The 15,495-nt window shown below is 36.6% G+C and overlaps 1 protein-coding gene across 11 annotated transcripts in view; it reads left to right on the top strand.

Annotated features, from left to right (window-relative positions):
* ERBB4 (erb-b2 receptor tyrosine kinase 4) overlaps window positions 1–15,495 on the top strand; it is a 1,163,086-nt gene that overhangs the window by 1,092,393 nt on the left and 55,198 nt on the right. For all 11 annotated transcript variants that reach the window (NM_001042599.2, NM_005235.3, NM_001439006.1 and 8 more), the window contains one exon: window positions 15,310–15,465. In NM_001042599.2, coding sequence (NP_001036064.1) covers window positions 15,310–15,465 — 156 coding nt within the window. The remainder of the gene's footprint in view (window positions 1–15,309; window positions 15,466–15,495) is intronic.

Genomic DNA, 15,495 nt, shown 5'->3' with positions numbered 1-15,495 from the left:
TTATCTCTGTCCTCCTGTCTCACTTACCTGCTAGTATCTTCTCTGGGTGACCCCAAATATCCAATTTCTCTGTTTCTCTGCTTCTGAGGACAATAGAATACTCCAGCCAGGTGATGCAATTACAAAGTTATGGTTTTTATCTTATATTGTGCCTCAGTATTCTTTGGCAATCTTTACCCTGATCTTATGTGAGCTTTCTTACCCACTCTACATGGACACCTGCTGTGCTGGTGCACAGAGTGAAATCAGACCAATGGTCCTCCTTTGGCCACTTCAAAACTATTCACTCTACCCCATCTTTCCTCTCATCCTCAACTTATGTTAGTGCTTCGCAATTTACCAAGAAAAATACTGGTATGAAAACATTAGCTCCCCCCATCTTGTTCTCTTCCAGATTCCAACATTTCCTTTGTTGCTATCTCAGAGGAAATGTCTCTTCCTTTACAAACCTGCCTCCTTACATGAACATTTGATCCCATCTCTGCTGCTGGAACATTTCTCCTTCATTTCTTCTCAACCTGTATCATCAATCTCCTGACTCACTGGCTCCTCTCATGCATCATATAAATATTTCAATTCTCTGGGGGTGGAGGAATAAACAATCCCAAACTTGTGACTTCCTCTTTCAAGTGACAGCCTATGTATTCATTTAGTTTTAAGAGCCTAATTTTGTGTTGTTTTGCGGACCACCGTTCTTCAAATCCTTGTTCACTCTTGAGTCCACTGCAATCTAGTGACTCACCAGGTTGCTAATATTCCCGTTTCCAAATTCAAAGGTCCCCCTTCTGTTATCTTTTTGTACGTCCCTATTGTATTTGATACTGTCGCTAGTTTTACCTTCTTAAGATTCTCTCATTTCCTCTCCAACAACTCCACAAGAAATAACACTCTGTCTTTGTTCTTCTCCTATAAATCTGGTCATTACTTTTGGTCACTTTTTCTGGTATTCTTTTCTGGCACTCACTTATTTAACAACGGTGTTTTCCCTGGAAGAAAGTATCTGAGTTATCTCATGCTCTCTTATGGTTTAACCTCATTGGTAAGGTCCCATATCTGTCTGCTGCTCTAACCTAAACTTAATTCTCCAAGTTACTGTCTTAGTCAAACACTAAACCATTGCTATTGGAACTAGTATTATAGTATCCCAATTGATCTCCTTGATTCTTTCTAATGTGCTTTACCCTTGTTTGTCCTCCACACAACTGCCAAATCTGATCAAGTCAATTTGTTTTATCAAGGCTTTTAGTAACTGCTGTGCACGTCATGTTAGGTAATCACAATTAAGTTAGACACTTAATTTTGGCGCTTTTAGCCATTGACAATTAATTTAGATCCTATCCTCAAAGAAGTTGTCATTTTTTCTAAATATACCATTACCTTTTAGAACTCTATCCTTTTTACGTGCTTTTTATTATGTCTAGAATGTTCTTACTGTATTTTATCCAAAAATTTAAATATTTAATTTTCATTCAATATCAAGCTCAAATTCCACTTTTGTTAGTTTTTTTGTAATCAACACAGAATATGCTACATGTCCCTTTTTCTGTACTTTCTGAACACATCATTTACGTAATCTGTGTCCATGTATGTATCTCACAGCAGACAATGAACAGCTTGAAGGAAATAACATATCATTATATGTAAAACAATTAGCAGAGTGTTCAGCACATAATTTCTATTCAATAAAAGATTGTTTAGAGAAACAAGGAAACTTTATTCTTTTCAACTACATAGAGAGTGAGTTGTATACACAGTGTATATTATGTATGCAATAAGCTAGAAAGTGATCAAGAGAAAATTTGTCTTTCCTCCTGTAACTTTAAATAGCTGATAATCTAATGGAATATGCATACCTATACACAAATATAGGACACAAGGTGTCCCTGATTTTCATTTGTAAGGTATTTCTAAGAGGCAAAAGTAAAATTTTAAAAATGTGAATGATAGATTTCCATGTTATAAGTGAGATTCAATTATAGATAACTTAAGAGTAACACAAAATATTTAATTTTGTTTTACCTTTAAACCTCATGTACAGTTATATATTTACAGCTTTTCTCCATGTACTTAAATTTTGTTCTAATGAATACATAGTCATCCAGCTAAAGTTCAATGAGTGTCCAGTGGAGGCTAAAGATAAGCCAATTTTAGTCTCTTTAGTGATTTTTTTAATTCTTCCTAATTATATTACTATGAGAATGTTTTTCTTATCATCTCTATTTTCTACCCTATTATCTTTTAAACATTAAAGTGAAATGTTATACAGATAATTATACACAGAAATGAAAGTATACAAAAAAAACCCCACAAACTTTAACGATGGTAAGGGTGCTGAAATTAAACCATTATAGGAAAGACAGCATTATCAGGAGATGTGGTTGGCAGTTGATAGATGATCTTTGGGATTCTAAGTATAAAAGTGTGTTTTATACTTAAAATCGGAGGGAATTTCAAGTTACTTAAAAACTGAACTTTTGAAAATGAGAATCATCTGTAATGCAAGGTGCTGGACAAAGGACATAATACTATCAACATTGAGTTTTACTCTTAACTGTTCTAAGAATTTTACATACAGTCATTCACTTAATTCTCACAACAACCTTATGAGATAAGTATTATTATTATTGCCATTTTATAGATGAAGATATTGGCAGACTGAGTAACTAACATGTCTAACGTGCCTATGGCTGCATATAGTTAGTGGCAGCGCTGATAATGAAGTTTGGGAAGTCTTGTCCCAGAAATCACTCTTCATTCCTGCATTCCACTCCCCCAGATGTCAATGATAAACAGGAATGGGTTAAAAATGACCCTTTAGAACTGTTTTTATGATATGTGCTTTTAACCTTCTTTCATATGAGATATTAACCACATAAATCTGTGAACTGGAGAGGAGACCAAAAGAAGAGGTCAGCTTTCAAATTTCACATTGTCAGTGTGCATGAGCAATACCCTAATTTCCTAACAATTGTGGGAAAACCGATAGCATTTAGCCCAAAGCCCAAATAGTATTCCAGAATTAAAAATATTCAGCAAGCAATTTGCAACATATATGCAAGTAAGCCTGAAAATTAACAGATGTTTAATACTAAAAAATAAAAAGCAAAGGGACAATGTAATAAAAATCATCATTAGCAATAGAAAATTATTGCCAATAATATTAAAATTTATTATACCTTTTCCTCTTCCTTTATTTTTAATTGTTATGAGGTTATGTTTGCAAGTATATTTATTACTGCTGGGAATTTCTTCTTTCCAGACCTCTTGATCCAAAGGCAATAGAAAGAGTAAGGATGAAAGAGTAGAAAGAGATGAAAGGATAGAAAGAGTAAGGATGAGTAAGGAGTAGGGAGAGGAGGAAATCAATCAATCGACTATTATTTATTGACTGTCCCAAAACGTGATGAAATTGGTAAATGTGAGGAGGGTCAAACTGAGTTATGTCATCTCCACAGGAACACGCCATTCACAGTTCCAGGCACTCAACAGTCCATAAGGGTTTGAAGTGAAGAATAGAAGATAAAAAAAATCTTTATTTTTCGGACTTGAACAAGCCGAAAAAATATAGCTTTCTACTTCTTCCATTACTCATTTTAGTGTTTAATTCTCTTAAAAATAGTTTGACAAATTAATCAAGTCAATAGATGAGTGCTCTATTGAGATTCATATATATATACACATATGTATATATAAATCTCAATACATATATACACACGTATACATATATACAGGTATATACATACATACATATAACACACACATATATACGTGTGTGTGTGTGTATACACACATATATATTTTGGCTTTGTGCTTTATCTACTCTCTACATGAAACTGTTAGCATTGGGTAATTTGTTATATAGCATTTTTAAAGTCTGAGCATACAAGTTTATGTCCTTTCTGATCATAAAAAAACTTTGATTTAGCTGCAAATCCAAAAAGCTTTTTTAAAATAATGCTTGATAATCTCAGGGTTTAGCTCCAGATGGATGGTTGGATGGATGGATGGATGGATGGATGGATAGATACCTGTCTATAGATAAAGTTGGACATTATCACTATGTTGTAGAGTGACCCAATCTATTTAGGAGTTGGGGAAGATCTTGTGGAGGAAATGACATCTAATTTGTGATCTAAGAAACGTTAAATTTGACCAAGCATGTGTCTGTAGCATGGTAGGAAGAGTGTGGCAGTGTATGGTGAGGGGGTGTTCCAGATAAAGGAAATAGTAAGTGTAAAGGCAAAAGAAATTAGAGGGTTTTCAGCTTTGCTTGGCCATAGAGTTCAAGGTGAAGAATTCCAAGAAAAGAAGCTGGAGGGCCAAGCAGAGTCAAGTTGCTTGTGGGCTTTTTTGGCTACCTGAGTGAAAACGTGGTTCAGTGTATGTGCATGTCTGTTGAAGGGTAAAGGAGAATGAGGAAATGATGGCAAATGCACATGGTTAAAAAGAGAAGACTTAAGCAAAGAGAAATATGTCAATTTCCCATGGCTACCTCTTGGACTAGATCTGAGCCTTTATGGAATGAGTATCTAAATTTACTGAAGATTTTTAAGGAGACTGTTTGTTTGTTACTAGGGACTCAAGAATAGCTAGTGATACAGCTGAGGACAAAATAAGGCACAAAGTTCAGAAGAGGGTAGAACTCCTCCCTAGGGCTGTGTGGAAGACAGCAGAGCACTGACATGGTAAGGAGGATGGAAGGGCATAATTGCAATGGTTTGAAACATTATAAGCTGTAGCTTCTGGAGCATCAAGAGATAGCAGCCCCAGAAAAGATATCAGCATTTCCACAGGAGCTTCAACTGTGGGTTCAACAACTGCAGATATCAGTGAAGAGTCCTGAAAAACAAACAAACAAAAACAAGAAAGATTATCCATGAGCATCTATGAGGCTCCTGGCTAACCCTAGAAATATCTGCAAAAGGCTTCTTAGAGGCAGGGAGCTACAGGTGCTCTCCAAGCAGGTTGGGCCAAGAAACAGTGAAATTTGTATTATTACTATACCATCACATGTGTCCTGAAGCCTGTAGTGACAGCAGACTCTCCCAGGACAATTTCTTGACAGTTTTAATAATTAAAGATAGATGATTCACATTTTAAGTAATGTGATGATATCTGGTACTTCTATGGTAATATTAGGCTAGAAAATGAGCCAAGGTGCAAAGCAGGAGTCTCTTTCTCTTAGTCTTTATGCAGGAACTAGATGGAAACAAAGCCCTGGAATTCCGAGGAAGAATGCAAAGGTAGAAACAAGGATGTGTGTCAAAGTGGGCATCCAAATCAACAGTAAGGGATTTAGATGAAAACAGAAGCCATGGTACAAATCCTTCTGAGGATTTTGAGAGGAGCAAGCCTGAGGAAGGAGGGCATGGGGCAGATCAGGAAGTTTGGAAGTGGCTGGGTGACTTCCAGAAGGAAGTATGTAGGTGCCACTTTTGCGAGTTTTACATGCGTTGGGCAGATATTTGCATAGTGGGGCCAAGCCCATTGCTGTCCAAATGAGACAAGGCAGAACTGAATTGAATGACACACTTTTCAACCCCTTATGTGGATACTCAAGTTGCATAAGAGCCTTTAGTGCTCTAGGAGTTTCACATTTTTAATGCAAAGACACTTACATAAAAGTATTCAGCAGTTATAAATAAACTCAACCACCTGGACATATAGATAAGTAAACCACACTTAAGAAAATAGTTATTGAAATTATTTAGGTCTATATGATGGCAGAAGTTTTGCTTTGTAATAAGGATACCTCATAAAATTTGATATAATCAGCTTAAGAAGGAAAATTGTATATACATATCCCTATCCCTAAGCTGTATGGTTTTCCACCAGTAGCATGCAATTCTGTGAAACCACAAAATATTAGGAATGATCTGTTTCTGCTCAATTATTACTAAGGTGTCAGACATTCAACCACCTCTCTGTAGTCTCTGAATGCATTTGCACAATATGTATGCTCAGAGAAAGGCTCAGCTTCTATTAATCTAGAGGTTGCTGTATTAATAGGTTGCACACTTCATTGATTTTTAATTAATTTCTAAAGAGACACAGAGGATAACTGCTACAGCCCACAGACATCTCCATTCTCATTGGAAAGCACATCTTTATTGATTGGCTGCCTAAGGAGTAGAAGTAATGCACTTTAAGTACACCTCCCTGTGAGAGTTCGGACACTACATGATTCGCTTCTCCTATTGTAACCATATTGGCAAGAGATCAATGGGAGAAAAACTGTAGCATGCTTGATATTCTCTTGATGCAGGCAGATGAGCTTTTTACTCACAATGTAGTGAGAAAGCAGAGGTTTTTCGCACATGCTGTTTAATTTGCTTTTTTGTTTTTGATTTCATTTATTTATTTTTTGGTTTTCTTAAGAAGGCTTTCAAGCCCCAAGGAGGCTGTTCTTCAAATGGATGTTTTAAAAGCTTGCCATGAGTGGTAAATGAAACTTCTGAAGAAAATGTAAGGAGCAAGAAAAAAAAATTCTGTTATCTCTGTCGGCCTCAGGAATCTGTAAATGGTCTTCCCCTTCTCTACCCCTGGGAGACTAATACCAACATCTGGGGCTTAGCCTAAATGTGGCAGGGTTTGCTTTCCCACATTCCATCATAAAGATTGCAGATTTTAAATTGCATTTATTAATTTGTCAGTGACTGTTCTAAATCCTTTGTATATGGAAACTGACAAGAACCCAGTGAAACCTGTATTACTGCTAGTACTCCTATTTTAAGACAAGGAAATTGATGTACAGAGAGGTAAAATAACTTGTCCAAAGGTGATACCTAGTGCACGACAAAACTTATCAGAACTAAGATTTGTCTTGCAGGCAGCTTGATTCCAAAAGCAATGATCTTAACCATTATGCTATATGACCATATACATAAAAATATACTCAGTAGATTACAAGCCATATATGAAACTCACAAAACTGAATGTAATCTTGAAAATGGGTGCTCTATGAATCCAGTGAAAACACTTCCTTCCACATAATAAACGTTGAAGGCTTTTAAACAAGCCTCTTTAATTTTGCTGGATTCCCCAAGGGATGGTGCCTTTGGAGGCACTTTAAAAACCAACTAACTATTTGTGAATTTCACTGTGTCTTCAACAACTTGAAATTTGCCTGGCATCAGTAACTGGCACACTATACATGTTTGTGGTTGGAGTAAATGAACCATAAGACCAGAATTTTGTAAGTCTGTCCAGGAAGTAGCTATTTTTCTTTGCAGCATAGATAGAGCATTGGAGTGTCAATATCCCACGAGTGAGGAAGCTGAGACGAATCATCAACAGCCAAAACTTCCAGCTGAATGTCCAGGTCCTAAAGAGGTTTCTGGGCAGCCCACCACAGCATCTCCTACATGCAAGTGTGTATGCACACACACATGCTTACACACACACACACACACACACACACTCAAATATATTATTGGGACTATCTGTGAAAAATAAATTTCAAATAAATAGCAAACAATAATTTTTATTATATATTATTAAAAGGACAGAAATTTGGTTGTCCTTAATATTCCAAAATCTAAGTTCTTAAGCTCTGCAACCTAACCAGGCTTCTTGAAGATCATGACTGCAGTTGGAAGTGTGAGAATTAACCATGAGTGTTAACTCCCTGCTGGCTCAGGACAGCCGTATGAATCTGCTTTTCTTCCTCTGAATAGAATAATAGGAAGAACATTCAGGAACAAGCAGAATGAGAAGCTATTGCACCTAACAGTGCTGAGTAACCAACAGGTGTTTCAATTGGCTGCCTTTAAAGTGGTCAAATTATATTTTTAATAAGATAAATTTGTGCTTATTTATTTTAAAAATACATGGTATCTTATAATAGTGAATGTTTACGTGTTTTCTGAATTTTAAGCCATTGAATCCTCAAGACAACCCTCAGAGTAGATACTATTATTACCCCCATTTAACAAATAAAGAAAGTGAAACAAACACAAATGTTGTATAAATTGACCAAAATCACATAGCTACTAAGTAGCCAGTGTTTTTGGATTTTAAAATTAGGATGCACTAAGATGATTTTTACTAAAACATATTCACAACTCTCACTAAATATTTGAAGGGGGACATCTACTCTACCTCTTTACTGTTCTCTGTGTCTATTATTGGCCCACAATTTAATATTTCAGATAGACATATTTTACAGTTTCATCTATCATGGAATAAAAATTTAAAGCTAGCAGTAACCTCAGAGATCATTTCGGCCAATCCATCACTTTTATAGCAGAGGTGAAATGAGTACCTGTGGTCATAAACCTAGTTAACAATATGTCCAAAACTTCTGTTTCACAACACTCAGCTCTGTGTTCTTTCTATTCTGCCATGAACCAGCTTCTGCTGGTTAAAAAGGTCCCTCAGTTGATTCCATTACTGAGCCTCCTTATATTCCCTTTATGCACTATTTGGATAAAATCGGCTACTTCATCCAAAAAGATCCCTTTCTTTCCTTAAACATGCTTATATCTTTAGCTCTAACCATAGTAAGCATTATAGTTGGATTCTTTTTCCCCCAGGGATAGAATTGCTTTTAGAAGGAAAGGTAGAAAAAAAGGAGATATTTTCATTTGAAATTAGGTTTCCTGAAGCTTCCTGTTATTACGAAAGCTTCAGGTAATTAGAATGAAAACAGAAAAAAAAAATGCTCTCTTGCTAACTCTAGAGATTAATGCTGGAGATTAATGCCTGTGAGAGCTGACTGCAGCTTGAAATTTTTAGCTCCACACACGTATTTGATGAAATTGTCGCATGGCCAATATGTGAGAAGCAAATATTTATTGTCAGAAATAGTCCAGTCTCTCTTGACTTCCTTTAGCTTCCGGCAGCTGGGCAAAATACATTTTCACATTGAATTAAAACAAAAATAATGCTTTTTGCCAGATTGTTGTGACTCACATATCATAAGATTGAAAAGAAGGTCATGGCTAGGTTTTCGTCAATACCATTATTTGAAAATTAAGTCATTCTCTGTTCTTTTCCATAAGCAGTTTATATGAGTTGATTCTAACCAGAGATTAAAATGTTAAATTCAATTCTAATACAATTTTCCTTGGATTTTATATCAAAGTTCATTTCTGAAAATCAAGCATACAATTTGACTTTCTCTGGTTAGCTTGTATTTACTATGATTACACATTTTAAGAGCTATGAGCAAAACATGAACTAAGTATGCATTCTTTGAAAACTTACTAGGGCTTACAGAGAAGGTATAAAAAATAGTCAGATTATGAATAGTTCAGGTAATGGTAAATTCTGAATAGTTTCGGTAAAATCAGACTTGTGGCATTTGGATCATGAAGTAGACAAAATAACCCTAAAATACTTCTTTCAAAAACTCCCCTCCATGGTGTGTAATAAGTGGCAGTTATCTTGGTATAGAAAATCTATTTTATTAACCCATAGAAAGCATTATTAACCCACAGAAAGCATTCTACAGCACTGAACCTTTTAGATCTATTTTATTCGTGACCTTTATCTTCACTAAATTCTTGAGTCGGTGATGTATTTATAGAGGGCACCAAATCTTTTAATATGTCTCCTAATTTTTCTTTCTTCTTATATGACAGCATCTTCGGGTGAATTATTGTTAAAATAATACTTTGAATAATAATAATTCTGAAATTGTATTCACACATTAATCATGATGGGTAGGTTATAAGTATATGTATCATCATTTGCAAACACTTATTAAACACCCATTGTGATATATTAGCTGAGGTTCACAGATTTTCTGAAATAGGCAATTAAAGTTAAGGAGGGTAAGTAATTCTTGTGCATTCTAGGATTGTTGATAGCTATCCATGGAGCAGTAATAAAGGTTTTCATGTTCTACACTTACTATATGCCAATTGCTATTTAAGTGCTTTGCATATGCTAATTTACCTCACAACAACCTGCAGGATAGGTGCTGTTATGCCCATTTAGAGACGAGGAGAGGAAGGTGATGACAGAGAGAGTAAATAAGTTTCTCAGAGTGACAGGGCTAGAACATGGCAGGGCTGGGGTTTGAAACAGGCAATTGACCACAGAATCTACACTCCTACCCACTCTACCATCTTGCATTCTCTGTGACCAAAATAAGAACAGTCTGTAGTTTGCACAATTCAAATTCCTGTGAACTTACAAAAAGATGCTATAATTTAACTGAGTTTAAAATATAAATTAAAAAATGTCAATCACTTGCATTATGTCCTGAAATTCACAGAAACACCAGATAATAGTTTTTTTCTGCCAAAGTACTAGTGCCTTTTAAAGCTATATGACTTCAAGTGGCTGGATGCAGTGGCTCATGCCTGTAATCCCAACACTTTGGAAGTCTGAGGCAGGAGGATTGCTTGAGGCCAGGAGGTTGAGGCTGCAGTGAGCCCTGATCATGCCACTGCACTCCAGCCTGGATGACAGAGCTAGACCTTGTCTCAAAAAAAAAAACAAAGAAAACAAAACTGTATGACCACTATGTTCATTAATTTCTCCATGTCCACCTAACCCTGTGACCCATTAAGAGAGAAGATAGGCTTAAAAATGTAGACTTTAGAATTGCCACAGCAAGGGATTCAATCCAACTTCTACCATGCATTAGTTAGATCAGCAGTCCCCAACCTTTTTGGCACCAGGGACTGTTTTTGTGGGGGCCCGGCAGGGGAGATAGTTTTGGGATGAAACAGTTCTACCTCAAACCATCAGGCATTAGTTAGATTCTCATAAGGAGTGCACAACCTAGATCGCTCGCATGCACAGTTCACAACTGGGTTCAGCCTCCTACGAGAATCTAATGCTGCCGCCGCTAATCTGACAGGAGGCAGAGCTCTGGCAGTTATGCTGGCTCGCCTGCCACTCACCTCCTGCTGTGCAGCCCAGTTCCTAACAAACAGGCCACAGACCAGTGCTGCTCCATGGCCCAGGGGTTGGGGATCCCTGATTAGATAACTTGGAGCAAGTAACTTGACCTCGCCTAGCCTTTGTTTTCTCATATTTAAAATACGTCAACAGTGTTCATCTCATAGGATTAAGTTAACCAACCAATGTGGCAACATTTACTTTAATGACCGCTGTGTTCTAAGTACTGGGTCAATGTCAACTGTGGTTGCTGTCAGTATTATTCTTCTCCTAATTTACTCAAGCTGGCCTGACGTGGATACGGGAACTGCTAGAGCACAGAGTATGAGGCTTCTTTACCCATGAAACACAGCATCATAATGAAGGACCTTTATTTGTTCATCTTGAAACTTCCACGGACTTCATCCAGTTTGTTTTTGTCACTGTTATTTCTAATAATTTTCTGCCACCTTAGTTGCATGACACTCTAATTTGAAGAGTTATTTCATTTTGAAGGAATCTAGCACAGAGTGTGACTCAAATGAGAGCTTCCAGTAAGAAAATCCTATTTAATGACTGTGATGTAGAGAAAACTGTTTTGAGCAATCCATAGATGATTCAACACTCTCAGTGTGTGAAAGTAGGACTAAGGTGGCTTTAGTAAGTAATGATTTGAAAGCGTGCATCTGTATAATGATGTTTCATAGTTACAAAGCAACCATAAACATGTATTTTGATGGTTTGGTAATGATATAGATACTTACGTTCTTATTGCTTTTAGTGATGGTCAGGTGGGTGAGGGAAACTGTCTAGAGACTGTCACCTAGTTTTTAAAAATTGATTTCTCATTATTTTGAAGAAAGTACCTTTTCTGGAAAAATAGTATTTAGCTTCAGGATAGTCTATCACTTGCTGAGGCTTTGTGTATAGAATTTCAAAAAACTTTCAGAGTTTTTGAAATTTTTCTTGTATTGTAGAGTGTGTCATTAGAGTGTCAGTCTGTGCAGACTGCTATAACAAAATACCATAAACAGAAATTTATTTCTCATAGTTTTGGAGACTGGGAAGTCCCAGATAATGGTGCAAGAAAATTTAGTGTCTAGTTGAGGACCTGATTCCTAGTTGTTCATAGCTCCTATAACCTCACATGCCTGAAGAAGCAACAGATCTCTCGAAGGTCTCTTTATAAGTTTGCTAATATCATTCATGACGTTGTATTCTCATGACCTAATCACTTTTCAAAGACCCCACCTCCTAACACCATCACTTTGGGGGCTAGAATTTCAACACATGAACTTGGGGAAGGACATAAAACCATTCAGATCATAGCAGAGTTTTAAATTTTTTGGTGAATGTGCCTTAGTTCCCTATTGGCAAAGTACATATCACTCTTCCTGCATAAGTTTAAGAAATATAAAAATGATATTTTTATTAGAATGATATTTGGTTCAAGGGATCATTATCCACCTAAATTACAAAAGTCTAAAAACAAAATTGTTCTCAGTGTATTCTCTTTCTTCATCGTTCAAACAAATACTAAGGATGATTATTTTATAAATATTCCTTGATATTATCCTCTTTATAGTATTCCTTCTGGCCTAGTTTAGTTGAAGGTTCAGATACTCTTACACGTAGGAGCAGACGAGTGTTGTAAGTGATGGAAGCAGAACTCCTGGGAAGAAATAGTGAGCGGAGGGATCTTGGAAAATGGGGTCGGATTGCCCTTATTGGGGTACAGTTGGTCTCAGCTACAGAGAATAACTGACCCCCGCCCAGTGTGGGGACTAAAGAAAAAAAAATCTGAAAAATGGATGTAGTCCATGGACTGCCAAATTGCAGCCTTTATTTTACATCACCTTGCTTCTGTATTGTGGCAGTGGCTCCTGCCTTCAGCTACATTGATGTCCAATCCATTCTCTGTACTGACACCAGAGTGGTGTTTTCAAGAATCCAACAATAATCTCTCACTCCCCTTTTTTTATTTTATTTTATTTTTTTTTGAGAGTCTCACTCTGTTGCCCAGGCTGGAGTGCAGTGGCGCCATCTTGGCTCACTGCAAGCTCAGCCTCCCAGGTTCACGCCATCCTCCTGCCTCAGCCTCCCGAGTAGCTGGGACTACAGGCGCCCACCATCACACCTGGCTAATTTTTTGTATTTTTAGTAGAGATGGGGTTTCGCCATGTTAGCCAGGATGGTCTCGATCTCCTGACCTCGTGATCCACCCACCTCGGCCTCCCAAAGTGCCAGTATTACAGGCGTGAGCCACCGCGCCCGGCCTCACTCCCCTTTTTAAAACAACTTCCACATCACCTAATTGTATACTGCATGAAATGCAAAAGTCTAAGTTCTTTACCATGACATATAAGGGACCCTTCTTGGACCCTGCCTCTTCTTTTGTTTTCAGTTTCACTGCTCACCACTGTCCCTCATACATTATGCTTTAAAAATACAGAATTGCATATCTTGGTGCAAGTACGCCATGGTACTGCTACCCCTGTGCTTGTTCTGTTTGCCTGCAGTTTTACCCTCACTCTGTCCAATTGGGAGACATCATTCAACCCTTACTTAGGCCTTGGTACTGCTTTGAAGTCTCTCCTCTCACGCATACTTGCTAGGCTATACTACATAAGGGCCTCAGAATAGAGTTCTCTTTAAATGCCTTGCATGTATCACATCAGTCCATTCAAGTTTTTATTCCCTATCCGCCCACTTTATTAATTAGCTTCTGTTCTCCTTTAATATACAGACCTTATCTGAATCTTTTTTGTCTTCTCAGTATCTGTCTATATAGTCCAGCATATAGTACGTGTTAACCTGTTGCCAACATATATTCCGTGTTCTGATATGAAGGTGATAAGAAAGAGAATAATGAATGTTTCATGAACATTTGTTAAAGGGATAGTATTACTTGGGAAGATATGAAAATATTCTATCTCCAAGGCAATGCATTTATTTGTTTTTTTTTTTTTTTGATCCTTTAAGTCATATAAGGGCTATATGTTCTCAGATGTACTTTATTATAGGAATTTCTAATTTAATGTACTCAAACACAAAGCACTGTTTAGGAGAGAGGGCAAAAGTCCCATAAATCTCGGTTGTAAGTTGATTTCAGAAAACACTAATACACACAGCGTCACCCAACTGTTGACTGATTAGACCATATCAGGCAGTATCCCCACTGGTTGTGTTTAATGTGCATTTATATGGGGTTTGGCTCATGATGCTGTTTGAAGTAATCTTCTCTTTACACTACACCAGGTATACGGTTCATAATTTTTTGACCTGTGTGATTTATGTGTCTGTTTTCCACAGCTTTTGTTTTGATATTAGAAACCATTAATCCTTCAAAGTCCTGCAGTTGTAATGTTAACTGCCCACAGCATTGATTTGCAATTGGCATGAGAGTATGCTTCAACATTTTATAATAATTCTAATCTATTTTTAAATGGTGATCATTTTACCACAAAAATCATCAAATATAGAATTTCCCCTAACACTTCAACAAAAATATATTCACTCTAATCTCGGCCTCAGGTTTATTTCCTTAGTTTTACATAAGTTCTTTTGTTAAACATAATGTTTAGCAACCCTTAGTTTACCTAGTACTGAAGTACAATTAATAAAGTAATTATTACTCCTCTAGATTATTTTTTCTGAATTTGTATAGATATTAATACATAACATGTGTTATATATTGTTATACATGGATGTATTGTGAGGAGAGCCAGCTATGTCTCTTGCTGCTAAACACCAACAAATTTTATTTTTAATTTCCCTCTATGTTTTATAAAGGTAAAATATTAAAGGCTAATTTCAGTGTCATTACAAACTGTGTAATTTCACTATGGATTCTCATAATGACTACTGATACCATAGAAGTCTTCTTAAAAATTACAGGTTTGTAAGACTGCTAGGGTATATACTTCATTCTGTGCATGATTAATAAGAATAGTATAATAAGAATAGTATAATTCTTCAGCCTCCATAGAATCTATAATGGTGATTTTGGCACCATTAAACTTCAAATGAAATATTTCTAAAAATTATGGATAAAGGTATTTGTTTGGATGTGTAGGGGGAAGATGACGTGAAGCAGAAGTTATTGAGAAGGAATGATTACAAATATGTGGGTCAATCCAAGCATATGTTAGCTTATTTACTACAACACCTGCACACCTCACTAAAGAAAGAGTTTGCAAAAGGATATCAAGTCACTTGGAAAAATAATGATCTAACATTTAGCTCATGTGAAAGTAATTCTTTCATCTCATAGGACTTTAGGGAGAAAACACCAAAAGCTGTTTGTGGTTTGCTGTCCCCCAAATCAGGTTTTCTCTAATTTTGAAAATATTCTAGGATTCTGGCTTCACTTAAAAAATTAGGCACTTCCAACTGAAGGCTAAGAAACTTTGTTTTAGAAAAATGGGAAAACCTGGGCATTAACTGAATATCATTAAGGAACTTGATATTTTTCAGGGAATGATGTACCTGGAAGAAAGACGACTCGTTCATCGGGATTTGGCAGCCCGTAATGTCTTAGTGAAATCTCCAAACCATGTGAAAATCACAGATTTTGGGCTAGCCAGACTCTTGGAAGGAGATGAAAAAGAGTACAATGCTGATGGAGGAAAGGTGGGTATCTTTTTGAGAGCAATCTTGCTT

Source organism: Homo sapiens, chromosome 2, assembly GCF_000001405.40.
Source record: "Homo sapiens chromosome 2, GRCh38.p14 Primary Assembly".
NCBI lineage: Eukaryota > Metazoa > Chordata > Mammalia > Primates > Hominidae > Homo > Homo sapiens.
This window is presented reverse-complemented; position numbering and strand designations above follow the sequence as displayed.